The sequence below is a fragment of the Homo sapiens genome, chromosome 9 (assembly GCF_000001405.40).
Source record: "Homo sapiens chromosome 9, GRCh38.p14 Primary Assembly".
In the NCBI taxonomy this organism is placed as follows: Eukaryota; Metazoa; Chordata; class Mammalia; order Primates; family Hominidae; genus Homo; species Homo sapiens.
The window spans coordinates 107,004,867-107,032,757 of NC_000009.12; the positions used below are offsets into that span (position 1 = coordinate 107,004,867).

At 40.1% G+C, this 27,891-nt stretch overlaps 1 protein-coding gene and 1 long non-coding RNA gene across 37 annotated transcripts in view, besides 1 other annotated feature; one reads left to right on the forward strand and one right to left on the reverse strand.

Annotated features, from left to right (window-relative positions):
• Nucleotides 1–8,768, forward strand: part of ZNF462 (zinc finger protein 462) — a 153,477-nt gene extending 144,709 nt beyond the window's left edge. For all 36 annotated transcript variants that reach the window (XM_047423662.1, XM_047423672.1, XM_047423680.1 and 33 more), the window contains 2 exons: nt 4,679–4,802; nt 5,957–8,768. In XM_047423662.1, the coding sequence (XP_047279618.1) occupies nt 4,679–4,802; nt 5,957–6,164 (332 nt within the window). In that variant the 3' untranslated portion in view covers nt 6,165–8,768. The remainder of the gene's footprint in view (nt 1–4,678; nt 4,803–5,956) is intronic.
• Nucleotides 1–27,891, reverse strand: part of LOC340512 (uncharacterized) — a 128,156-nt gene that overhangs the window by 30,034 nt on the left and 70,231 nt on the right. The gene's annotated exons all lie outside the window — the stretch shown is intronic.
• Nucleotides 2,464–2,965: an enhancer, noted in NCBI's record as "NANOG hESC enhancer chr9:109769611-109770112 (GRCh37/hg19 assembly coordinates)". NCBI's record gives its function as "activates a minimal SCP1, AML or CMV promoter by ChIP-STARR-seq in primed H9 embryonic stem cells {active_cell/tissue: H9 hESC(primed)}" and the evidence as "EXISTENCE:reporter gene assay evidence [ECO:0000049][PMID:30033119]".

The window sequence follows — 27,891 nt, forward strand, 5'->3', positions numbered from 1 at the left end:
CCCCAAACCCCGAGCCCCTGGTAACCACCATTCTACTATCTGCTTGTATGACTTTGACTTTTCTAGTTTCCCCACATAAGTGAGATCATGCAGTATTTGTGCCTGCCTCTGTGTGCCTGTCTCATTTCACTTAATGTAATGTTCTACAAGTTTATCTATGTTGTCACAAATGACAGGATTTCATATTTTTTAATGGTGAATAGTATTTCATGTGTGTATATACCACATTTTCTTTATCCATTCATTTATTGATGGACACCTAGCTTGATTACTTATCTTGGTTATTATGAATAACCCTGCAGTGAACGTGAGAGTGCAGATATTTCTTCAATATCCTGCTTTCATTTCCTTTGGATATACCTAGGAGTGGGATTGCTAGATCAATGTGGTAGTTCTACTTTTAACTGATTGAGGAACCTCCATGCTGTTTCCATAACGGGTGTACTAATTTGCAGTCCCACCAACAATGCAACAGGAGTTCGCTTATCTCCACATTCTCTCTAGCATGTTATCTTCACTCTTTTTGATAATAGCCTCGTAACAGGTGTGAAGTGATAGCTCATTGTGGTTTAATTTGCATTTCCCTGATGATTAGTGATGTTGAACATTTTTTCATATGCCTGCTGGCCATTTGTATGTCTTCTTTTGAGAAATGTCTACTCAGATAGATGATTTTCTGTTGAGTTGCTTGATTTTCTAATACAGCATGGGTATTAATTCCTTATCAGATGTATGGTTTGCAAATATTTTCACTCATTCCATAGGTTGTCTATTACTGTGTTGATTGTTTCCTTGGCTGTGCAGAAGCTGTTTAGTTTGATGTAATTCTGTTTATCTGTTTTTGCTTTTGTTGCCCATGCTTTTGAGGTCATATCCAAAAAATCATTGCCCAGACCAATGTCATGGAGCTTTTCCCCTTTGTTTTTGTCTAGTAGTTTTATAGTTTCAGGTCTTATATTCAAGTTTTTAATTCATTTTGAGACGATTTTTGTATCTGGTGTGAGATAAGGATCTAATTTCATTCTTCTGCATGTGGATATCCACCTGTTCCAATACCATTTATTGAAGAGACTGCCCTTTCCCCATTATGTGTTCTTGGCACCTTTGTTGAAAACCGATGGACTGTGAATGTGTGGATTTATTTCTGGGCTCTCTATTCTGTTCTGTTGGTCTGTGTATCTGTTTTTTATGCCAGTACCATGCTGTTTTGATTACTATAGTTTTGTAGTCAACTTTGAAGTCGGGTAGGGTGGTGCCTCCAACTTCGTTCTGTTTGTTTAAGATTTCTTTGGCTATCCAGGGTGTGGTTCCATGGGTTGTTGTAAAGATTAAATGAGATAACACAGAAGACCTTCACCCAGTTCCTAGAATATAACAATCACCTAATAAATGATAAGCCTGCAATGTAGGTGTTATTTTTGTGATTTCACAAATGGGAAAATAAGGACCCAGGAAATTTAAGAGCATGTTCAAAGTAAAAAACAAAACAAACAAACAAACAACAACAAAAAATATAAACCCTGGAGACCAAATTCAATTCAAATTTACATCTTCTGGCTCCAAAGGCAAGCCCTCTTCTTACCCTGCACACCACTTTCCCAGTGCTTCGAGTAGTGTAATCTTCACTGAAGGGGACCTGACCCTGAAATCTGTGGATTCAGTGGCCCTTGGGACCTTGCTGTAAGGAGCAGTTTTGCAGAATTTCTTTGTGTTTTCTGCTTGTTCTGTCTGCAAACATTAAGGAAGCCTATTGGTGGGCTACTTCCCTCCAAGGTGTTCCCTGTTCCTTTTCCTGACTTGCACTCACCCTCCTACCATGATGCCAGGGCTAAAGACTATGGGTTTGCGAAGGGGGCCCCAGTTTGGCTCTTGAACCCCTGACCAAGACAGTCAGCAGGAAATGACAGCCAAGGTACACTACCCTTTCAAAAACCCTGTGCCTGTATTAACCTGAAAAATACATGGACAAATAAAACATCCTTACCATATAGGTTGATTGTTCTTATAAAGTTATTATTTTTATTAGTAGAGGCTGTATTAATCCATTTCTTACAAGGAAAACGGTTGTGATCGGAGAAGCATGGCTTCTTTCTTTTTTCTTTTTCAAACCATTTCATGAGTATGTTCTTTACAATGATTTCTTAACATCTCTGCACTGTTACCGGAGTTTTCTGGGAGAGGATACTTTTGACAGAAAGACTCCTTTTTCTTCATGACGCTCTGTGGCCTTGCCTTTTCTCCTCTGGAAATAAACTGTTTCTCATTGGATATTATTATGGCTTTTTAATCTCTAAAGCTGAGCATGTGTGATTTCAAAGGTTATAAGCATTATAAAGGCAAAATACCCTTCTAGGCTTCTGCTCCCCTATGACTCCTTATAAAAAAGAAAAGGAAAGAAAGAAAACTCGAATTTAAAACATGGTGGTTGAGATGTGTGTGGTATACCAGGCAGACCTCCTTATTTTACCCTACTTGGCAGCCCCCTTTTACTTGGCACTGTGGCATTACACTGGAGTGGTTTGGCTGGAAAGAACTTCAGGGTCTCCTCTTCTCACTGGAAAAAGTATAGTGTCCACATTCGTGAGCTTTACCACATGGGGGAACAAAAAGCCCTCAGGGTGGAGAAGCACGTATTCCTCTCAGAGGGTGGGGGATTTACATGAGTAACTTCCAGTCACATTAATGGGAATTACAAGCCTAAACCTTCCCTTCCCCCTCGCCGATCCTTGAAAGAGCAGCCTCCTTTGTCCCATCTCTCCTTTGAATAGACCAAGAATCAACTTTCCACCATCTAGGTGTATTCTTGGCAGGAAAAAGAAATACACACAATAGCCTCGGGTGTTTCTGCTAGACATCCCAGCTTCTAGGAGCAGAGGGCAGGAGGTGGCTTGCGTGCAGCTCTCAGGCTGGTGGAGAGCTCTTGGAAGTGTGGCCAGTGCCCAGTGGCCTCCTCCTTTGAGGATGGAACTTAGTATGTGCCATTGGAAAGGACAGATGACTGGTTTCCTATTTACAGATTAAGGGTAAAGAAACAAGTGTACCAGGAACATTATTCCTCTTGTTGGCAATTTAGACTTTTATCAGACACCCTCAGTTTAGGGGGTTCACAGCCTCGCAGCCACCCCACTCCCTACCTCCTTTCTAAATGCAAGTGCCGGACTGAATATGGACACGCTGCAGGTCCTGCCTAGGAAGCTCAGGGAAGATTTGAAAGAGAAGAATCCAGGCATGAAGAAATCAAAATTAACCCAAGCAGAATCCTCCCCACCCCCCTCTCATTATGCAGTTGGGGAGGAGTCAGGAAGGCATTCTGTTGATTTCTTGCCCAAGATAATCCCTGCTAAGGAATTAATGCGCAGAGCAGATGGTGCTGTCTCATTTCCAATGAAAAGAATCAAGGAAGATAGTCTGTGCAATTATTTTTAATGGCTTGTGTGGTGATCTTCTTAATTTGTGAGAAAATGTTTCATCTTTTGTTAAATCTGGCCCCAGTCACATAGCTGTTTGTGCTGAAGATTAAGGCATCACAGAGCCCCCCATCCTGTTAACATCGTCCTGAGAATCTTATTAGATGGGGCATTTCAACCAGGAGGCATCTTCCTGTAATGTCTTGTATGTGTGGACCAGAGTGATCAGAGTGTAAAGATGATCAACACTTCCCTGTGCGATGCCCTCACTTTGCAACACGGCTGCAGAACTGGCAAGGTCCTGCTGTTTATTACCTACATGAAGACTTGGCCCTCTGTGGTATAATGAAACACATATGGGCTAGGAACTCGGGCTAACACAATGGCCATATAATCTCTTATCTTTGAGTTTGCCAGGAGACGTGGCCTGAAAACAGTTAAACAGCCAATCCACATTTATCAGACTTCTACCATGTGCCTAGTACCATGGAGGAAACAAAACAACTAAGTCAATATTTGATGTTTACAACAGACCGTCCAGAAATGTCTGCATATCCCCGTATTCATGAATACCACCAATTGAGGGGTAGGTGCCAGGCAGCTGGCCAGGATCTCTCAATAGCAGGGGACATGTGTTCACATACTGGTTCCCACTCATCCAGATAAATGTTCATGGTAGATTCTTCGCTTGCAGATCTCATTCAGTGCACATAACCGCCCTGTAAGGTATTGATTATAATGTCTATGATGGATGACCACAAGTCATGAGCCTTCAGCCTTACTTGGAACAAGTAGAAACCCTGAGGTCCACAACACATAACCTGGTCCAGGGCTTTCGGTAGCCTATGTTCTTTTCAGTGAACAAAGATAAACCTGTGTCAAAAAGGAAATGAATAGATGCTAGCCTGTGAGGCACTGATATAAATCATCACACAAGGGAGAGAATAAATCGGAAAAAATAATGCTCAGATTCCTTTGGAATCTCGGGCAAGCGGCTCTTCAGTCAAGAAAGACCCAGATTTTGTGATAGAAGCATTGGGGAGGTGAGGCGAAATGAGGTCTTGGGGCCCAAGAACCAGAAACAGTTCTCGAATGCTATTCAAGGAATGCCCTAAGGGGGAAACCTAAGAAAAAGTGAGGAATCTGGAAATTGCTTTCACCACATGGCTTTATCAGTGAAGGTAGGAGAGAGGGTATCCTAATGAATGCTGACTTACCTATTCTGCTGATTCCCACAGCACACAGGTAACACTTCTGCTTTCTCTTTGCAGAGCTGATGAGATTTTCTGACCACGGGGCTGCTCTTAACACTGAGAAGCGTTTTCCATGTGAATTTTGTGGACGGGCGTTTTCACAGGGCTCTGAGTGGGAAAGACATGTGCTGAGACACGGCATGTAAGTTGGGCCACTTCAAGGATGCCTTTGTCCAAAGCAAGAGGTAGGGAGGGAGGGAGGGGCTCTTGTTTTGGTTCCCCTGACAGTATGTACACCCCTCTGTGTCACATTTCTGGGCCGTGGGAGGAGAGGCAATGGTGAGGAACCAAGTTTCTCCTTTTCTGTTGTTTTTTAAAATGGTCACCCAGCCGCAAGTCAAATAGGGAAAAAAATCGTCTTTATGAATGATCAGTCCTGCTCAAGCCTGTGTGCAGAAGTATAGTGTTTTCTCCAGCCAATATCCCTTTAGTCTTCATTAGCGTGACATTCTATAATAGAACGTGAATCGAGGTCAAAAGATCTGGCTTCTGTTCCTGCCTCTCTGACTGATCATTCCCTGAGTGGCCCTGAACATTCCCATGTACTGCCTCGGGGACAGAGCCAGCTTCTGCCTGCCTCCCAGGTAGGTGAGAGCATACTTGTAAAATACTTATGAGATCCCTGAACATAAAATCAGCCCCTCAACAAGGCACGTTAGTCCACCAGATGCAGAGAGAACCTAGGATGTGGTCTTTTCAGGAGGAAACATGGCTTGTGTGGTGATAGGAAGCCTGAAGCTTGGTCCCTGAAGCCTCAAGGGTCTAGACCTCAGAGAATATAACCAAGCTTCCCGAGACATGGGTTCCATCTTCAGGTTTTTGTTTTTAGTTTGTTTTCGTGATTTGTTTCGGGACCTGACAAATAAATCTTTAGTACCTGAGTTACTCTTTTAGACTTCATAAATATAACCAATCTCCAAGCTTCTGGGTTCAGCCGATGACTCTGAGCATAAGACAATTCTTGCTGTTACCACTTATGACCCAGTAGAGAAAGTGACATAAAATGATTATGCTTATCTAGAAAGAAAACATGGGATAATCAATATATAGTATAATAATGGATACTTCTGTAAGTTCAAATCTTTAAGATACAGAAATATATGACTTAAGCAAAACATAGCAGGGATGCATCACTTGGTATTTTGTCATACACCCATGGCATTTGTTCAAAGGAAACCCCAAGGCTTTTTGAGGATCAGGAAAATAAAGACACTCGAGGGTTTTTATTATTTTTTTGTTTAAAAAGAGAAATATATATACTATACTCATCTGTCTCTTCGATAAATGTTTTTCCAGGGCATTGAATGACACCAAGCAGGTGAGCAGAGAAGAAATCCACCCAAAAGAGATCATGGAGAACAGTGTTAAAATGCCCTCCATAGAGGAAAAGGAAGATGACGAGGCCATTGGGATAGACTTTTCCCTAAAGAATGAAACAGTAGCCATCTGTGTAGTAACTGCCGACAAATCTCTCCTGGAGAATGCAGAGGCCAAAAAAGAATGAGCGTTTGGTGAAATTCTTAATCAAACCTTACTTGAACAGTGATGAAAAAGTGGGAGGGCTGGCTTGGGCTGAGAAGGGAGGGACAGAAAAGAGAAGACAGAACAAAGCTGCTTTTTAGGACTGAACAATCTATTTTCAAAGCACTGGTACCTGTGTGAGTGAGTATGTAAATTAAAGTTATTTAAATGGTTGGAATATGTGGCTCCTTTTCCATCACTACATCTTTTCTTCCGGATCTTCATCATGGAAGTTTCATTTGTTGCGGAATATGGAAGCACCTCCCAATGGTACGGTGCACCCTGTGGTGGTCTTGGACAGTATGTGGAAACAGAAGCTCCATGACGGTAGAAGACTTCTCATTGGGGAGCAACTTTTTGACGCACAACTTTTGGTGCGTTTTTCTAGTTTTAATACCTTAAGCTTTTTCAAGACCTAACTGCAGCCGCTTTGGGAAAAAAAAACAAAAAACAAAAAACAGAAAACAAAAAAAAAAAAACTGCTTTGCATAAAACAGTCACCTGTTTCCTAGTACCTCAAACTTAACCAAGGGAACTCTCTGCATTTGTCAGTACTACCTGTCGTCGTTGTGGTTAAATGTAGAGAGAACTGCTGGGCAAGATGGTGAATGGAGAAAAAAAAAGAGTTTTAAAGAAAGGAACACAAATTGTGCTTAAAATCCCCATGTGGGTTTTATTTCTTAAAATACTGTGATTTTTTTAATTATTTTAGTAAAAAACAAAACAAAAAAAAGAAACAGACTTTAATTATTAGATAACTGTTTGTGAATTGTCATCCTTTATTCCAGGTAAGCTGTTTATTAGTGTTCAACTATAATTTAGAATTTGGTAGATTCATGTGAGCTAATTTTAAGGTGATTGTGGAGTTTTGTTTGCCACATGTTTATTTTCTATCAATTTGAGTGTTACAAACACAGCACAATTCAGTTTTTCATATGAATTGTTTTTCGTGTGTGTGTTGTTATTGTTGTTTTAATTTCGGGGCAAGGGAGATTTAGTTTTTTGTGAATAGGAATGTTTTTATTTTAAACATGGAAATAACAAAGAAGTTAACTTTCTTTTTTTTTTTTTTTTTTTTTTTTAATTTAACTAAAGAACCAAACTTTCGGCACAGCTATGCAGCTTGTGGGCCAGACGAGGAGGTCCTCCTCACCCTTTTGTTGCCTGTCAAATTCACGCATTATCCGTCTCATAAATAATTTCTGTTAGGATTGGCTGGCTTTTGTGTGTGATTTTAAAATCTGTGTTTTGTTTCTGCTGGCATTGTGTTTTGTTGGGGGTTTTCATTTATTTAGGGGACGAGGGGATGTACTAGAATCCCATCCCTTTCGTGAGAGTGGACAAGAAATAACATATCCTACAAGGAGCCTGGAGAACTACTTTCTTTCTTTCTTTTTTTTTTTTTTTTTTTTTTTTTAAATCTAGCTGCCAGCTGCTCTGTCCCCCATATCAGCTTTTTCAGGAGGGAGCAGCTTAGACTAAATCTAAGCCTACATTTATAATATGTTCTGATTGTGAACAAAGGGTTTCGTTCCAAAAAATAGAAAAGAACTTTTCTTGAAGCCTAGGTTTTAGAAGCCCGTGTGTGTGTGTGCTTGGATGTGTGTGTGCGTGTATGAGTGTGTGTGTGCATGTGTGCACGTGTGAATCCTTTGGTTTTCATGTTTTTTTTTTTTTTTTTTTACTTGGAAGGGTTGTGGGAGGGTGGGAGGGAAGAAAGGGAAGGGGAATTGCTGAGATGACAGTGTCCCACACAGCTTCAAATAAAATCCATGGAAAGATGTTGCATTTGTGGAATAAGTGCTTACTTGAAAAGCATGTTCTTCTTTTATTTTCTTACTGTTAAGAATTTTTATTTGTAGGATGTTTGTTTTAATTTAATTTTTTTAAGGGATGGGGGCCATCATGTGGAAACCAGAAAATGGGGAAAGTGTGAACTATCCAGACAAAGATTCATTTTGTGTCTATATTTGTTTTTAATTGGCCTCATTTCAAATGTATTAAACAGTTCCATACCTGGATTGGGTGTTTGTAATGGTTACCAAAAAACAAACAAAAAAAGAAAGAAAAAGGAAAAAAAAAAAGAAAATAATTGTGACATGCTTTTATCACTACTTTATTTTTCAAATAACATGTAAATATTGTAATCCATTGGATTTTGTTTTGCTAACCTGTTAATAAAAATATGGGACCATTATCCTTTTAACAAGGCTAGAATGTCATTTTTTTCTTTTTCAAACATATACCTGATATTTTGTGGCCGCACATTTTGGATGCATTATTATAATTCTGTTGACTGTAATGACATAGAATTTACAACATTTTTTGTTGTTGTTTAATTTATACAGAGGACATTTTTTTCAGAGCTTGAGAGAAGAAAATAAATAGCAAAATGATAACCTATTGACTCCAGTAATCAGTGTTTCCCAATACTTCATAAGAGATAGGGAGACCCTGAGTCCTTGAAGCCAAGGGTTTAAAAACAAAACAAAAACAAAAAAAACCACAAGTAGGTTATTCAAGTTGTTTGCAACATACATTTTGTAATGAAATGTGAGAAATTAATAAAGAATTTTTTTCACATGTGTCTATGTGCATCTGTTGTAAATCATTTACAGATATGACTACAGATATGAAATCTAGAAATATTATAGCACTACCTTTCAATGCTTGTACACGAGATATTTTAAGTCATTGAATCTACACAGGTATGGAAAGCAAAGGTAAAGCTGAGGTGAGGTTGAGGTTGAGCTGGGATTTTCAAATGTTAATATTTCTGCATCAGGTATTCATCACCAACTGAGGGAGTTTTAGGGAAGGAATATTTTCCATCAAAAATGTGAATCAAAGTGATGTGTGAACTTCAGAAGGAGGAAGCACCCGTGATTAAACATCATCTGGGACCCTGAATCCACAAGCACAGTCATTTTAAGCTAACTGCCAAGTCACACCCACTGCACAGGATCTATTTCAATGTTGCCGTCCTTGCTTATGAAAGCCTGCGCCACAAACTATCTTACTGAACATCCTGCAGCCATAATTATCACCATTAACTTATTCTTTGAGCTACCCTGTTATAAATCAATGGAAAAATTAATAGTCCTGAAACCTAGAAGAAAAGTAAATTAAAACCAACAGCATTAATTATTAACTCAAAGCTGAGTTACACTATCTGCCTCTACCAGTGTTAGAAGTATGGTTCCTGAATCATTTGTTCAGTGTTCATTCTAAAAACTTGGTTCTAACCCTTCCTCCTCCCCATCCCTATCAATCAATAAGATCGCATTCTGAGTACATTTTATATTCGAATACTCAAGAGATACTCAACCTTTTCTAAGGACTGCAGGTTGAGAAGTTTATCCTGTATGTTTTCAGAAAGGAGAGAAAGTGACTTAATGGACTTCACTGCGATACAGCTGTTCTCTCATGGTCTCCATGAAATATTTTATGAACAGTGCTTTTACTGAGTTCATGTCTAATCCATATTCTCACTTTGTTTATGTAAAAGAAATGGAATTTATTGCTATATAAGTCATGGTAGGGGGTGCAACAAGGCAAATCCTGAAATCTCTGGCTTAACACCATAGAGATTTGATTCTTACACACATTCCCTGTGAATGTCTGTGAGGTGTCCTAGACCTGTTGACTCGGGAGTCTGGGTTGCTCCATCTGGTGATGCTGTCATCTCAACACATGAATCTCAAGGTCAACGCTGAGAGCTTGGAAGTGTTTCACCCACTCAAATGCCTGATCCAGGAAGTAGCACACATCACTTTCAGCCTCTTTTTATGGGCTGGATCTGGTCACATTGTTCCACCTGTCCACAAAGGGACTGGGAAGTGTGTGAGCTTCCAGTGTGCTTAGGAAGAGCACGTGACCAAGCAGCCTCCACCATAGTCAGGAACTGGTAGAGAAAGAAACTCTGTTCTTTAGAAGGTAAAGGATGCTGATCCCACCGCATTGCTCATGCACTTAACCAAGATTTCTGAGCAAATATTTGGTGCTAGCTATAGCAAGAAACAGGACAGACGTGAGATGTGTCTTCTGACAGCTCATGAATGGTGAGCATAGATATGCAACATTTGGAGACGTGCCTTCCACTGGAGATGCTTGGGGCTTGCTGGACCCATTAGCTTCCTGGTGTGAGGCTTTGACTGTACCTCTGCATTGATAGTGGCAACCCTTGGGAAACATGGTCTTGATAGTAAATGTGTTTTTTCTGTCCATCCAAAAGAACATATTTGACTTAGAGAGGCATAAAAGAAATTGGTTACTCACATACATTCGTTGAGTCTTTTAGTCCTAAGTTTAACAAAAATTACTATATGTTTTTTCCTTGCAACTATCCTTATTGATTCACTATTTGCCACCATTATGGCATAGCTCTCAGAGGAATAAGTTTAGCAAAACAAAACTATCTCTCACTTCCTTTCACTTGTACACTTGTGTATACACTCCACTCGTGCCAACAGGTGGAGCTTTAAGGATTGGAGAAGTCTTTACCTTCAGAATTTAAAAATTTATGTTTACAATTATTAATGTGATGATATTAGAGGAGACATCAAAATAAAGTCACTTTCCTGCCTCCCACATCCATATCCAGGAATGCTTTCTACCAGTTTCATTCCTGAGCACTTTTTACATGTCTCTAATCAATTTTAAAACATGCTTTTTTCCACTTAATAGTATATTTTCCATGTTGCTGTAGAGTCTTCACAACTAAAAATGTTCAGAACGACATAACATATTGAATGGAAACACATAACTGTGTAACTCATGAGTTATTGAACATTTAGATTTTTAGATTTTGCAATATTATAAATAATGATGTAGTTGATATCTTGCCCATGGCATCCCCAGCCACACTTTTGGATAATTCCATTAAAATAAATTTTCAAAGGTACAATTAGCATTCAAAAGGGTATTATTAATTTGCACCAACACCAGCCATGAATGGAAGTAATAACTTAATCATGCCCTTGGATATACAAAAGAGAGGGAGATACCATGATCATGAATGTAGGTTCTAAAGTCAGCCCACCTGGATTCAAATCCCAGCTGACCCACTTAATTGTGTGATTTCAGGCAAGCTACTTAAACCACGTTATGTCTTAGTTTCCTTATTTGTAAAATGAAGATAACAATATTCAACCATGCATCTTGCATGCTTTTATTGCAATTTAAAAATTTCTAGATATTTTAGCATAGCCAAGATATTCACAGTTGAGAGGCTAGACTTTCAGATTTGGGTTATCTGTAAAATAATGTTAAGACTTAATTAGAAAGAGAAGAATTCTTATTCAGTTTTGTATGGCCCAAGACCCACTGAAAACTATGATGCCAACGCTGATGGCAGGCACCAATGATATTGTTTATGTTTCCTTCATTTGGGGCTTACAGGGACAATTCACAAAACAGTATGATAAAGGTCATTTAGAAACAAGGAGGAGGGAGGAACTGGCTGCCTGAGGGATGGGGAGTGGTTGACACTGGAAAGGCTAGACCATTGAACAGAGTCTTAAGTGACTAGTCTGGGATGTATGCCAGGAAGAAAACGTGATGGAGAGAGGACATTCCAGGTGCAAAAGGAGGCATTTATGCAATCATAGAGGTGAAAAGTGCTGAGCCTGGTGTTCTGGGGATGGCAGGTGGTACTGGATGCCCTGGTGAGGAATGCCAAGAGAGGAGAAAGCTAGAAAGGTTGATCAGAGAATTCATGACGGCGTTCAATACCATGCCAAAGAGTTTCAACATAAAGAAGTGGAGATGCCTGTAAGAATTGTGAGCTCGATAAAGATTTTTAAGCAAGGGATTGACACAATCAGATTTAAGTTTAACAAAGACTATGTTCAACTAACAAAGGCAATGGTGGTTGGTTAGTTGCCTGCCCAATAGCTATCACTCCCATTTTTCTTACTTAGTTGAAGCCTAATTTTAATTGGAATGGTAATGTACCCAGCTTTAAAAAATATATTTCTCAGCTTCCCTTGCAGCTAGGAACACCATATGTCACATTTCTGGCCAATGAAATGTAAGCTGAAACTTTCTGGGAAACTTTTGTTTTCCAATTATAGATATCACCTCTTTCTCCACACTGCATTCTTTTCCCCTTCTACATCCCCTTTTACATCCCCTCATCCTTTTTCTTCTTTCTGGAATATGGAGCAGCCAAGTTACAACCATGAGACCACAGGAGTGTGAAAGTGTGATGCTTTCTAAAGTATGACCTACTGGTGCCCCAGAAAGTTGAAGGAGGCTGGGTTCCTAAATGCATTGTGATTATGCTGTAGAAGCCTAAATGGACTCATCCTGAATTTCTTGTGAGATGGAGTAGGGAGGGGGAAAGACATTTGTTTAAACCACTGTTATTTAGGCTTTTTGTTATTTATAACTGGAAGCAGTTTCTACTGCTGTAAAGTGATAGCCAGTTGAAGTCAAGACAAGTTCACTGCAATTGCATTCTTAAACTGAACTTCCTGAGTGAAAAAATTCCAAAAGCAATGGTAAGATAGAAGCCTCCATGTTCTATATTGACTGAGCTTCGGCTGGTGATTTCTTGTAGCCCTTCGGAAGGGAAAATTTGACTCCAGCAGTCACATTATGTCACAGAGCTATGAGGGGGCTATTTAAGGCCGAATTGTAGGTGGGAAATATGAGGAATCACATCAGCCTCTCCCATCTCACTGTCTTCTCTATTAGCCTCAGGTAGGGAACAGAAAGGAAATAGGAAAGGAAGTGTTGATAAAATGCTTCCAGTAAGCTTCTCTGGCAAGGCCTGGGAGTTGATAGGCAATAGCATTCTATCATAGAAATTATAAAGTGTCTTGAAATATCATGCTCATCATTTCCTGAAAATGTCAGTTCCTTTCTAAACAACTCACACCGCACGTATCTTGAGTGCTAAGCTTTTTTTCTCTTCTGGAATTACCTCCCATTGAAGACTCAGCCTAAATGTCACTTCTGATGTGAAGCCTTCCCTGCCTCCCTATGAGTCACAAGATATAGACTATCACCCTAGCTGTCACCTACCCCCCATCTTAATAAACATTTATGGAAGGCTCATTATGTCCCAGGAATGGTTCTAAATACTTTATACACATCATCTCATTTAATCCTTGTGTTGGTTTTCCTAAGACTGCTGTAACAAATGACTACAAACTTGGTGGCTTAAAACAACAGAAATGTATCCTCTTACAGTTCTGGAAGCCGGAAGTGGAAAATTAAGGTGTCATTAGGGTTGGTTCCTCCTGGAGGCTCTGTGAGAGAACCTGATTCATGCCTCTTTCCTAGTTTCTGGAGGCTGTGGGCAAGCCTTGGTGTTCCTTGGCTTACAGACGCGTTACTCCAATCTCTGCCATCTCCCCTCACATCACCTTTTCTTCTGTGTCTTTTCCCTTTCCCCTAAAAGGATATCTGTTATTGGACTTAGCACACACCCTAATCCAGAATGATTTCCTCTCAAGATCCTTAATAACATCTGCAAAGATTCTTTTTCCAAATAAGGTCAAAGTCACAGATTCTAATTAGACATATCTTTGGGGGTGGGGGGAGTTCCATTCAACCCGCTACAGTCCTCCTAAAACACATATGAAGTGACTACTATTATTAGCCCCATTTTATAAATCAGAACCCTTAGTGAAAGGCTAAATAATTGCCCAAGATTCACAGCTCAGGAGGGGTGGAGCACTTCAAGCAGCCAACGTGCATTCCCTTAACCACTGCTCTACACCCTTCTCTTTGTCTTATTCATTGTTGCCTCCCTAGTGCCATGCACAGAACCTGGCCCTGAATCAGGACTCAATAAATGTCTGTGGAAGAAATGGATGGATGGATGGATGGATGGATGGATGGATGGATGGATGGATGATGAAATGTTCTTCTCTCCCCCACCCCCACCCCACTCAGCCTCTAAGTAGCTGAGACACATTGCTGTCAGATGCAGCTAGCCTTTTTAAATTCAAATATATTCCTGTTGATACCAAGTGTTAGTTCTCATCTGATTTGGCATCAATGTTACATTTTCTTTCAGAGCTCGATATTGCTTTTTAAAATATCTAAGTAAAAATATGCAGCTTGGTAGATGAAAAATGTCTTTGTCTGCAACTCCAGGCTCTCCCTGAGAAAACGCCAGAGAACTCAATACCAACACTCCCCCTTCAGAGGTCACCTTGAGCCTCCTCCTCCTTCCTTGCTTAGAGGTGGCTAGGAAATGGAAGAAGAGGTCCCCTGGGTCTGAAAATTATAATAGACGGCAGCAGTGACTGCTAGTAGAGGAGGGGAGAAAAGCCGGAATTGGCTGTGATGGGAGTGGAGATCCTTGGCTGTGACTAACAGGGCAGACTGTGTCAAGATGTTTAGTGGTGAAGCCAAGTGAGTAAGAGTGGGACGGTGGCTTGAGAGAGAGAGGGTTGAGGGAAGACTGTTTTTTAGAATACACATGACTTGGACATGTTTATCACACTGGAAAGAAGGAGCCATGGCAGTTGTAGGGGCACTGACAAGCAAACTCTTACTGGGATACAGGGCACAGGAGAACAATTGGCTTTAGAGATGAAGAGGGAAGGAAGTGCAAAGGGAATGTGCTCTCCTCTCCATGAAGGTGAAAGATTCAGGGAGTGACGGGGTTCATGCTGAGGTGGGATCCGAAGTCAGAGGAGAGGGATGAGTAGGCAGAGAGGTGAAGGGTTGGAGCTGCTGCTGAGGGCTGTGTAGAAGAGAACTGGTGGAAGTAAAAGGAAGCTGAACAGAGCTGAAACCGATTAGTCAGTATTATGCTCTTCATACGACAGAGAAAGCTTACCCAGAGGGTCCAGGGTAATAGATCTTTTGCTGGGACTTCCTTCCCAACATCCCTCCACACACATACAAATGCACATAAGCATGCACACACCACCACCACCTAATAAAGAAAAACGAGAGAGAGTCACTCTAGGAATCTGAGGGGACACTACCTTTCCCCACCTACCTAATTATGTGGCTTTTTGAATTAGGGCTGGATAGCAAACTTGCCTTGTTTCTACTCACAATTTCTCTCTTGAAATTCCCATTAATGAAACAGCTTAGTTTGGTTTAGCTAACTGCATGCATGACTGCCAAAAACCACATCACAATGCAGGAGGAATGCAGTCTCTAGCAACGCTACAACAGCTTAACCACATTGTTTAAAGAGAGGAGCTGGGGCAGCCCCAGTGCTTCTGAAATCCATTTAAGATGTGTGAAAACATGAGACTGAAATTCTGACCTTTCCCTAGAGCTGGAAGAACCTCCTCCAGGGGGCTGTTTGGAAGACTGCAGATGCAGGCCTGGGCCCATCTACATCTCCCCAAGACTCTGGCTTCTGGTAGCCTGTCAAGCAGGGAAGCCCTGCCTCTGTGTCCTGTCCCTGACGGGGCATCAGCCTGGTTAAGAGTGCAGTCTCTGAAGCCAAGTTGCCTTAGTTCAAGTCTTGACTGCTCCATTTATAGTGTGGCCTTGGGCACTTAACCTTCACACACTTCAGCTTCTCCATCTATTTTTGGCATTAAAGTTATTGACATAAAAGTACCTAGTCACATACATGTTATAGGGATTAAATACAATAAGTAAGGCCTTTCCCATAGTTTGTGCTCACTTGGTATAATTGATCATCATCATTCTCATTGTTATTGTGCTTAATTCTTTAGTGACTTGGAACCTTTGTTTCCCCATCTGCAAAGAAAGGACAATAACATCACCTTCCTTAAGGTGGCTTAAAATAAAAACAGATTAAAGAGACTAGGATGTGCTTGGTATGTGGTAGACACTTGATATGTGGCCATTGATTTTACTACATCTCTACTACATCCACTGATTTTTCTCTTGCTGGCCTTGCAGAAATGTAAATGGCTTGATTTCTTCAGTCGTTAAGTATGAAGATGGAAGATGGGTAGAGCTCACACCACAGGCTCTGGGGTCAGATAGAGCCAGGTTTGAGTTCTCTTATGAGCTTTGAAACCTGGGGTGCTATTTAGCCTCTTTTATGCCTTAGTTTTTTTAATCCGTAGAAAGGGGAATAAAAGTATCCACTGTGAAAATGCCATGTGATAAAGCAGTATCGGGGCCAGAGGAGGACTGCAGAGTGTGAAATGCATGCTCCTTGAGGGCAGGGGCTCTCTCAGGCTTCCTGTTATATCCCCACAACTATGAGCACACCTGGCTTGTTGTAGGGCTGCTCCATAAGTATTTGCAGCCTGACTAATGTAGAAGTGAGGCAGAAGCTCAGTGCTGATCTTTGAAATGAGGTGTGGTCCAAGAGGGCCTCATAATTTCACTCTGTATAATTGGTTGAGCAAGTGCCACCCTCACTTATTAGTCTTTTTTTCTGTACTGCAGCTCTGTTTGAGTCTTCCAGAAACAGAAGTATTGCTCTGCAAATACTTTTCTGCCACTGCAGAGGGTTCTCATACTTAAAAAGTTCCAGTCAGTCACCATGCATCCCACCACCCCACGCCCGACACTACCTGTGAAGAGGCTTCCCAAGTGATAGATGGTCATGCTTTGACTAAGCAGCCATGAGAAGATGTCTTGCTTCTATTAATTATCCTAAATTGGTTATTGATTATGGTTAGATTTAGAAATATAGTCACTGTCCTGGTTTAAATGTAAACACTGCAGGATTCTTGCTTATGAACCTTGTGAAGATACTAGAAGATCCTAACTGACCTCCAAATCACACTTTGAGAGTTCTTGGAAACAAAGTTCCTACGTTACTAAAGAATTAAAAACTACAACAACGATGATGATGATGGTGGTGGTTACCATCAATTGCACACAGACTATGAAAGAGGCATGGAGCTAAATTCTTTACATGTATTACTTTATTTAATCCTCATAACATGTATATGAGGGTTAGAAAAGGGGCTTCCCTCTCCCCAAGATTTACTGATGAAGTACACACTCAGCTGCCTGACCCTAAGTGTTCAGGGAGCACTGGGAGCCAATATGCATGAGCATTTGAGGGTAAAACACTCTACTCCATGGCCTGCTAGAGGGATTCTTCTGAATTTAAATCTGAGCCTGTCTCTCTCAGACTTAAAGCACATCTCTTCAGTGAATCTTCACTCATCCTTCAGGTCTCAGCTTACATGCCACCTCCTCTAGGAAGGGTTCCCTTGCCCCCAGGATTGAATGAGGCTTCCCTCCCAGGTGCTCCTGTAGCCTTTAGGGCTTACTGAGATCATTGCACTGAACTGATAAGTCAGAATTGAAGTGTTCTGCTCACTTCTGTACCTCTCTCACTCCACAATGAGCAAAGACTGTGTCTTATTGACTAGGTTTCCAGGGCCTGGCACTGTGCCTAGAACAAAGAAGTCATTGATATAGTTAGGATGCTTTGTGCTGCAAGTAATAGCAGATCCCAGCTCAAACTCAAACTGGCTTAAACAATGAGGAAATGTATAACTTCAAAAAATCAGAAGTCAGATACACCATGCAGTAGGATCAGCAGCTCAATGATCTCATCAAGGGTTCGGGTTCTGATCTTTTTTTCTGGCCATCATCAATTCAGTTCCACCCTAAAGCTAGTTGCCTTTGTGGTCACAGCATGACCCTCAACACCATATGATTCACATCTAGAAGAGAAAAGAGGGCAACCTCTTTCCCAAGTGCAGTCTATAAAACCTTCCTTGTAATCTGATTGGGTCAATTTATGTTAGTCCACCCATACAGTCCTTGGCAGGTAATCACCATCATCTGATTGTCCCAGACAAATTATGATTTCTATCTAGAATAGGAATGAGATATAAAAAAAAAATCTAGGTTTAATTAGAGAGGAGGAAAGTAGAGACAGATGTAGGCTAAGCGACCGGGAGTACACTTTACATAGGTGCTGAATAACTATTTGGTGAATGAATAAGTGTGTCTTGGTGCTCCTAGAAACTACTCCAATGGGGAAGTCCATCAACAAAGTGGGAGGGGCTGAGGCTCTCATGGCACCTCTCCTGGCATTGAAATGTCCTCCACCTAAGGAACCTTTAACTGATCTAGACACAATAGAACCATGTTCAATCTGATGCTTCTCTCTCAACCATCCTCTTGCTCAGAGAGGATAGTGGTAAACTTCTCTAGCCAAGTGAAAGCATTTCTAGAGTTTTGCAAGCAACACCACATCGCTTTATTTCAGACTGTTTCCCTGACTCTAAAAAGGAGCTTAGCAGACCTGCAGCTCTTATCTTACTTACAACCCAAACTGTTCAGTGCTCATTATTTTTAAAGAACCAGAAAACTCTGCTTGGGAACAATGAAGGGAGTGCAGCCCCTCTTCCAAGCCTGTGTCCTATATCTGCCCAACCTACCTCTCAGGGAGCTGGTGAGGGTGGATGGAAACATGGGCCTTTGGGACCCGAAGGGTCTGTCCTGAAATACCAGCTCCACTGTTGACTCAGAATGAGACCATGAGAAAATCACTTACTCTCTGTGACTCTTCTTTTCCTTATCTGTGAAATAGGACACTCATAAATAAAGACCTGCCTTCCCTACCAGAAAGAATGGGCTTCTGAACTGTCAGAGTAGGAGAATTTGGGTTTAGAGAAATTAAGACCTTATAGAGAACAGACGGTGGGAGGAAGAGGAGGAAACATCAACAATAAACCTAGGAAAGGTCTCATGAATATAAGTTTCATATTTTTCCTAAAATAGAGTTTTTAAAAAGGCACAAAATGTCAGTGACATTTAACACGTATTAAAACACTAATAACAAGTGCTATCCAATTAATTTCTATTTACCACCCCTTGCTTGTAAGAACATCTTTAAGATCTTCCTCCCCTTAAGTTTTCAGGAAAATGCTGAAATTTCAGGTTGCAGATAAGAGGCAGGTTGAGAGGTGTTTGTTGGTTGGTTGGTTTGTTCCTGCATTTGGGTTTCCATCTACACATTCATGTATTTCTGCCAGTTCACCTGGGCATTGTTTTCTCCTATTCGCCAGAGACCCACGTTCAAGGCACCTTAATGAACAAACCCCATGGACCATCTGTCTACACAAGACCTGCTCCTTCCCTGGGTCTCCTGGTCTCAGGGAAACACCACCATTTACCCAGTTACCCAAGGAAGAACCTGGACATGGGCCTGGACTCCTCATATTAGACCCTCACCTCCTATAAGTCCCCAGGTCCAATCATTTACTGCATGAGACTCCTTGAATCCATTAGCCTCTGTCCACACTCACTCCAGGTGGCTGTAGGTTACTTTTCGTTGTTTATCAAGACCACTGTAACCACTTCCTGTCTGGTTTCCTCCAGTGCATCCAGACCACATAAAGCAGCCTGAATGAAGGCACATCAGACTCTGTCACTTCCTTTCAGAAAACATCTCAAAACCCTCCAGTTCCATCTCTCCCCAAATAAATCAGAAGTCAGATACACCATGCAGTAGGATCACCAGCTCAATGATGTCATCAAGGGTTTGGTTTCTGATCTTTTTCTCTGGCCGCCTCCCCTGAACTTCCTCCTGACATAAATGCCAGTTTAATGAATACCTGCAATCCCTCAGTGACTTCATTCTCATGCCTTTCCACATGCTGCTCCAATTTCTGGGAACACTTCCCTCCACACCCAGCCTAAGTAATTTCTCTTTGACTTTCAATACTTTTATAAAATTTAACCACTTTGTGGCTCAATTGTTTTCTCCCATACAATGAGAATAAATGCCTGTGAGTTTTATTATTATTATTATTATTATTCTGTGAGTACCTACCTCGCAGGTTGTTGGAAGGCATGAATGGGTTAATCCACTTAAAGCATGAAGAACTGTGCCTGGCAGTTCAATAGATGTTAGCTATTTCATCCTTTCCAAGTAGACTTGACCCTGAACCATATCCCTCTCTCTGGTTATGCACTCCTGTGTTATCCCACACTTCCCTCATCATTACCCTTAATAAACTGAATTCAGATTGAATCACTAGAATTTGCATTCCTTGAGATCATATACAAGGTCTTATTTATATTTGTGTCTCAGCTCAGCAGGTAGGGCCAGGAACAACAAAGGGACATAGTGAATTTCAGTTGAATGAATAAATGTTCAGGCCAAGAAGCCCTTTTACCATTGCCTGAAAGTCATGCCAAATGAATTATGGAAAATCGCTCTCACTGGGGCTTCTGACAAACTGCTCCTGAGATATCTGGGTTTTTGCCTCAATTCACACCAGCCAGGGACAACCCCGCCAACTCTCTGGGGTAGTAGCATGACAGGCAGAGCTACCCTCTATTTCACTTAAAAAAAGAAAAAGAAAACCATGAAGAGGAAAATTACTTAGTCATCACTGTCAATCTTGGCAAATAAACATTGCTATTACGTACTTCAGAACTCAAGCAGCAACACATAATTAGGCACAGGTTCAATCAGCAGCAAGATGCAGGTTAGGGGAGTGTGTGAGAGGATGAGTGGCTCATTTGCACTGCAGAAGAGGTGAGATGTTGATTTTCATGCAAGCACTGTCTCAGAGATTCCCAACTAAATAGGCGCATTTAGATTTTTAAGGCCCAACTAAGCGAAATGCTTTTTCTGGAGAAAAAAGAGCAGGGAGTTGTATAGATGTGTTTCTGAGTGGCAGCTGCAGATCTATTATAATTTTACTTGTTTTCTGATTATAGAACTAACGTATTTTCATTATGAAAACTTGGAAAATATAGAAAACAATAAAGAAGCAAATAAAAATCTGTAATAATCTCATCCACTTGATCCTATCATCCGCTTGATTCCTTTTATATCTACATTCAGTAACTCACTCAGTAAATGATCTCATCCAGTCTCATGGCTTTAAATGCTGTCTTTATGTGCATGAGTCTCAAATTAATCTCTCCAGCTCTGTCCTCTCCACCAAGCTCCAGACTAGATGTCAAAGAGACAGAGCCTTACAGCTATTTAATAGCATCAAAAACTCAATATGGCCATAATAAATCTCTTGCTTTCTACCCTCTCTCTGCAAAAATGTTCCCTCCTCCAATCTTCCCAATATTTGTAAATGCCACCATTATACACCCAACTGCTTAAGCCAAAAACTAAAAGTCATACCTTTAACCGTCACAAACATTTAGTCCATCAGTCTTACCTCTACCTCCAAAAAAAATCCAATTTCCTACGTCTTCCATCTCTACTGCCATCACCCAAGTGCAAAATGCTGATGTATGTTGCCCAGAATCTTGTAAGATCAGTCTCCTAACCCATTTCCTTGCTTTCTCTATTCTTTGTATGGCATTCAGAATGCTATCTGGTTATTTTCTTAAGCCTCCTACTTAAAAGTGAAATCGCAAAAATAAATAACTTAAGGTTCTTGATTATATATGTGTGTATACATGTATATACATATATGTATATATACACACATATATATGATATATATATACATATACATACATATGATATACGTGTATATATATCATATCATACACATATATGATATACGTGTATATATATCATATCATACACATATATGATATACGTGTATATATATCATATCATACACATATATGATATGTGTGTATATATCCTACACATATATATGTGTGTGTGTATATATATCCTACACATATATATGTGTGTGTATATATATCCTACACATATATGATATGTGTGTGTGTATATATCCTACACATATATGATATGTGTGTGTATATATATCCTACACATATATGATATGTGTGTGTATATATATCCTACACATATATGATATGTGTGTATATATATCCTACACATATATGATATGTGTGTGTATATATATATCGTACACATATATGATGTGTGTGTATATATATATCCTACACATATATGATGTGTGTGTATATATCATATCCTACACATATATGATATGTGTATATATCATAGCCTACACATATATATGTGTGTATATATCATATCCTACACATATATATGTGTGTATATATCATATCCTACACATATATGATATGTGTGTGTATATATCATATCCTACACATATATGATGTGTGTGTATATATCATATCCTACACATATATATGTGTGTGTATATATCATATCCTACACATATATGATATGTGTGTATACATCATATCCTACACATATATGATATGTATGTGTGTATATATCATATCCTACACACATATGATATGTGTGTATATATCATATCCTACACACATATATGTGTGTATATATCATATCCTACACACATGATATGTGTGTATATATCATATCCTACACACACATGATATGTGTGTATATATCATATCCTACACATATATGATATGTGTGTGTATACATCATATCCTACACATATATGATATGTATGTGTGTATACATCATATCCTACACATATATGATATGTGTGTGTATACATCATATACTACACATATATGATATGTATGTGTGTATACATCATATCCTACACGTATATGATATGTATGTGTGTATACATCATATCCTACACGTATATGATATGTATGTGTGTATACATCATATCCTACACGTATATGATATGTATGTGTGTATACATCATATCCTACACGTATATGATATGTATGTGTGTATACATCATATCCTACACGTATATGATATGTATGTGTGTATACATCATATCCTACACGTATATGATATGTATGTGTGTATACATCATATCCTACACGTATATGATATGTATGTGTGTATACATCATATCCTACACGTATATGATATGTATGTGTGTATACATCATATCCTACACGTATATGATATGTATGTGTGTATACATCATATCCTACACGTATATGATATGTATGTGTGTATACATCATATCCTACACGTATATGATATGTATGTGTGTATACATCATATCCTACACGTATATGATATGTATGTGTGTATACATCATATCCTACACGTATATGATATGTATGTGTGTATACATCATATCCTACACGTATATGATATGTATGTGTGTATACATCATATCCTACACGTATATGATATGTATGTGTGTATACATCATATCCTACACGTATATGATATGTATGTGTGTATACATCATATCCTACACGTATATGATATGTATGTGTGTATACATCATATCCTACACATATGATATGTATGTGTGTATACATCATATCCTACACATATATGATATGTATGTGTGTATACATCATATCCTACACATATATATGTGTGTATACATCATATCATACACATATGATATGTATGTGTGTATACATCATATCATACACATATATGATATGTATGTGTGTATACATCATATCATACACATATATGATATGTATGTGTATATACATTATATCATACACACATATATATCATATATGTGTGTGTATATATATATATTTCCGAGTTGATTTACAGAAGTTATCTACCAATGTCAATTGCACCAGCAGTGTCTGGATTTTAAGATAGCATCCTCACTTGTGCGATGCACTTGGCCAAGAGTAAGCTTGAATGTTTCTGTTGGTTTACATTTCTGTCTCTCCTACTGGTTAATGCAATAATTATTTCTTTGATCATTTCATATTTATATAGCAGCATGAATTTTCAATCCATGATGCATGTGAATTAAAATGTAACTTTTAAATACTTTTTGTTATAATTGAACTTAGTAGCTACCTAAAGCCCCCATGTTGTCTAATGGCAGAAAACTCAATCTATTTAAGGAACTCAGTCACTTAGGATTTTCTCTGTCACTTCAAGTTTAAACTCAGTCAATTTGGGTTTTCCCCACCCCTTTTTTTTCTGCTTAAGACCTGAGATGTATCCAGATTGATGGAAATCGTAGGGCTCAGAGGGGTCTTGTAGAATCCTAGCCTCTGTCAGAAAAAAGGAGAGAGAGAATTGGTTTATGGCTGGCATCTGTCATTGCTTGGAATCTACTAAGAACTTTGTCCTATGTGGTCTTTGGTTAATCTCACTTTAATAAGTCGACATATCCTGGGCTCCACCATCAACTCCAGGTGTTAATTGGTCCAAGCAGTCCATGGTTGACTCTTTATCAGTCATTGCCAGACCCTCTTGTGGTCACAGGCAACTTTGGAAACTTTTGGACACTCTCCCATGGCAGTCTGGAACCACACAAGACTGAAAGAGCTATTTTGGAGCCTCTATGTATCTTATTCCCATTTCCTCTCTGCTTCCAGTTCACTATACTGCTTTTGGGCTACACTTGCGAAGTTCTACACAGGTTCTTTCTTTAGGCTTTTCAAACCTACTCAAGTGTTCCATTATCTCCTGGCCTGAGATTAAGCTCAGGGAGGAGATAATTAATGTGGCAGACACAGAGATAAACGACTGCCCAGATCCCTCTTTATGCTAGATGTTGTTACTCAGGTGCAGGGAGTGAGGACAGTCAGCAGATGGTCTCCAGCTGTCAGCTTCTCCCAGATGCAGATGCAGAACCTTGCCGAAGGTCATGCCCTTCCCAGAGCAGCTTGTATCTGGTGACTAAGTAAGGTGGGGGTATAAAGGTCCAGCCATTCTGCCCAACACAGAATTACTTTGGGAGTACTATTTGCTCCAGAGTGCCTGCTGCTTAAGGCTTGGTCAAGGTTGCCTTGCAGCTCAACTTTTCCCTCAACCCAATTCTGCTTTCTTCTTTTTCCTTTCCTAATCATTAATTGCAAATCAGTATTTTGCACCCCAAACCTCATCTCAGAGTCTACTTGAGAGAACCCACCCTTCTGTTTTTGGTAAGCTGAATCATGTTCATGATCCCTTCTCATGAATACTCTGCAAGTTTCTTGCTCCCCCTGAGAGCTCCCTCCTTCAGTTTAGCCCTTGGAAGTTTTACAGACTCTACAGAAGTAGACCATTAGCTTTTATATGTTATCACTCAATAGCCCCAATTCTCATAGCATGTGGCTTTTGGCACAAAAAAAGCCAAGCTTTTGAAACTCAACAACTTTTTCTATCAACCTATTTTCTTTGCCAGGACTTTGAAAAGGCTCTTTTGAAACTCAAGATTGAGAATTGATGCCTTTGTTGTCTTTTGTTTGGCTGTGGCCTCCCTTCTTTGAGGCAGTGAGCTCCAATTGCCCTAGTTGCTGCCTTGAAATAAGTAGAAGGTTCCCATGATACATAAGAAATGTGGAGGTATGTGTACGTGAAGCATGGAAAATTCTCAGGTTAACTCAAAAATCTTATCCTAGCTTATTTGCCAAATACCTGCAGCCTTGTAAACACCATTGAAAATAGGCAGAGCTCAAATTTGTGCTGGTTCTGAAACCCAGACATGGAAGGCAGAGACAAGGCATAGCAAGGGCAAAAGCTCCCTAAAATCGTAATTGTCAGTACCTGAAAGCTAAAAGATATTCTGCCAAGAACTTGGAAGTAAATTTTCTCCTTTATGCAAAGTCACCTGAGCAAGACAGTGGTACCCAAAAAAACTGGGCCCTATTATATCTTAGCAGATATATTATTCAGAAGATGGAGTTAGAAATACTGGGCAACATCAAGAGTTTCAGAAACAGATGTGGGCAGTCCTATTGGAAAGTTCTTTCCTATGGTTATAAATCAATATATGCAAGATATTGATAAGATTTTGTTACAGTGATGGCCCTCAATGAACCACACTTTGTTTAGTCCCTTCCCTTGAATGTGGACTTGTCCTGTGACATGCTTTAACTAGTAGACTGCAGAGGAAGTGATGCTGTGCCAGTCATAGGCGTAAACCTCAGGACCTAGCAGCTTCTTCTTTCCTGCTGTTAGGAACCCCGAGCCTCCATATTAGAAACAGGGTAGGTCTGTTGAAGAGACCTTATAGAAATCCATGTGGGGAAAGCAGTCCTGAGACTATACGGAAAGAGAGGTGACCCAGGCAACCCAGGATTCTGACTGAGCGCAGAACCACTGACCAGCCAACTAAAAACAGCCAGTAAACTTCAGTAAGACCAGTAAATTACTGCCCAGCTAAACCAGGCTCATTTTACAGAATTGCGAGCAACAATACAATATTTTTCTATTTAAACCACTGAATTTTGTGATGTTTTTTTTTTTTCCAGCTTTAGATGACCCAAAGGAGATTGTAGCTTATAGACTTCAAGTCTTCAGGGCAGGCCCTCTCATTATGAGATAAATTCATCAGGCATCTTAGTGTAATGCTATTAAACATTCAATTCACCTTACTTCCTCTGTGCTAATTCCAGGCTCACACAACAATCTTTTAACCCTTCCCCAGTCCTGCACCTCCTGCTCTGCCAAGCAGTTCTGACTTAAGAGGGAGAAGGCACTAGTAAAAGACTTCAATAAATTTTTCTTTTAGGAATTTAGAAATTGAGATATCACTTACATACAGCAAAATACGCAGATCTTACAGTTCTATGAATTTTGACAAAATACATACAGCCTTGTAACCCACACTCCTGATAAAAATATAAACTACTTTTGTAACCCCAGAAAGTTCTCTTGTGTTCCTTTCCTACCAATCTTACCACCTCCCAAGCAACCACTGCTAGGGTTACATTTTGCATGGATTAGTTTTGACCATTCTTAAACATCATATAAATGGAATTATACAGTGGATGCTCTTTTGTGTCTGGCTTCTTTTACTTATATGTCTGTGAATTTTATTTCCATTGCTGTGTGAATTTGTAGGCATTCCTCTTAATTGCTGATATGGTTTGGCTGTGTCCCCACCTGAATCTCATCTTGAATTGTAGTTCCTATAATGCCCCCATGTTGTGGGAGGAACCAGGTGGAGACAATTAAATCATGGGGGAGGTTTCCCCCATCCTGTTCTCATGATAGTGAGTCAGTTCTCATGAGATCTGATGGTTTTATAAGGAACTTCCCACTTCACTGGGCACTCGTTCTTCTCCTTCCTGCTGCCATGTGAAAAGGGATGTGTTTGCTTCACCTTCCACCATGATTGTAAGTTTCCTGAGGCCTCCCCAGTCATGCTGAACTGTGAGCCCATTAAACCTCTTTCCTTTATAAATTACCCAGTCTTGGGTATGTCCTTATAGCAGCATAAGAACAGACTAATACAGTAAATTGGTACCAGGTAGCGGGGCACTGCTGTAAAGATGCCCAAAAATGTGGAAGTGATTTTGGAACTGGGTAACAGGCAGAGGTCAGAACAGTTTGGAGGACTCAGAAGACAGGAAAATGTGGGGAAGTTTGGAACTTCCTAGAGACTTGGAGGGCTCAGAAGACAGGAAGATGTGGGAAAGTTTGGAACTTCCTAGAGGCTCGTTGAATGGCTTTGACCAAAATCCTGAGAGTGACACGGACAATAAAGTACAGGCTGAGGTGGTCTCAGATGGAGATGAGGAATTTGTTGGGAACAAGAGTAAAGGTCACTCTTGCTATGCAAAGAGACTTGCTGAGTCTTCCGGCCTTCATCTTTCTCCCGTGCTAGATGCTTACTGCCATCAAACATCGGACTCCAAGTTCTTTAGGTTTTGGACTTTTGGATCGACACCAGTGGCTTGCCAGGGGCTCTTGGGCCTTTGGCCACAGACTGAAGGCTGCACTGTCGGCTTCTGTACTTTTGAGGTTATGGGATTCAGACTGGCTTCCTTGCTCCTCAGCTTGCAGACAGCCTATTGTGAGACTTCACGTCGTGATTACGTGAGTCAATACTCCTTAATACTTCTTGCAAAACTTTTCTCCCATTCTGTTGGTTACCTGTTCACTCTGATGATAGTTTCTTTTGCTGAGCAGGAGCTCTTTAGTTTGACTGGATCCCTTTTGTCAATTTTGGCTTTTGTTGCAATTGCATTTGGTGTTTTAGTCATGAAGTCCTTGCCCA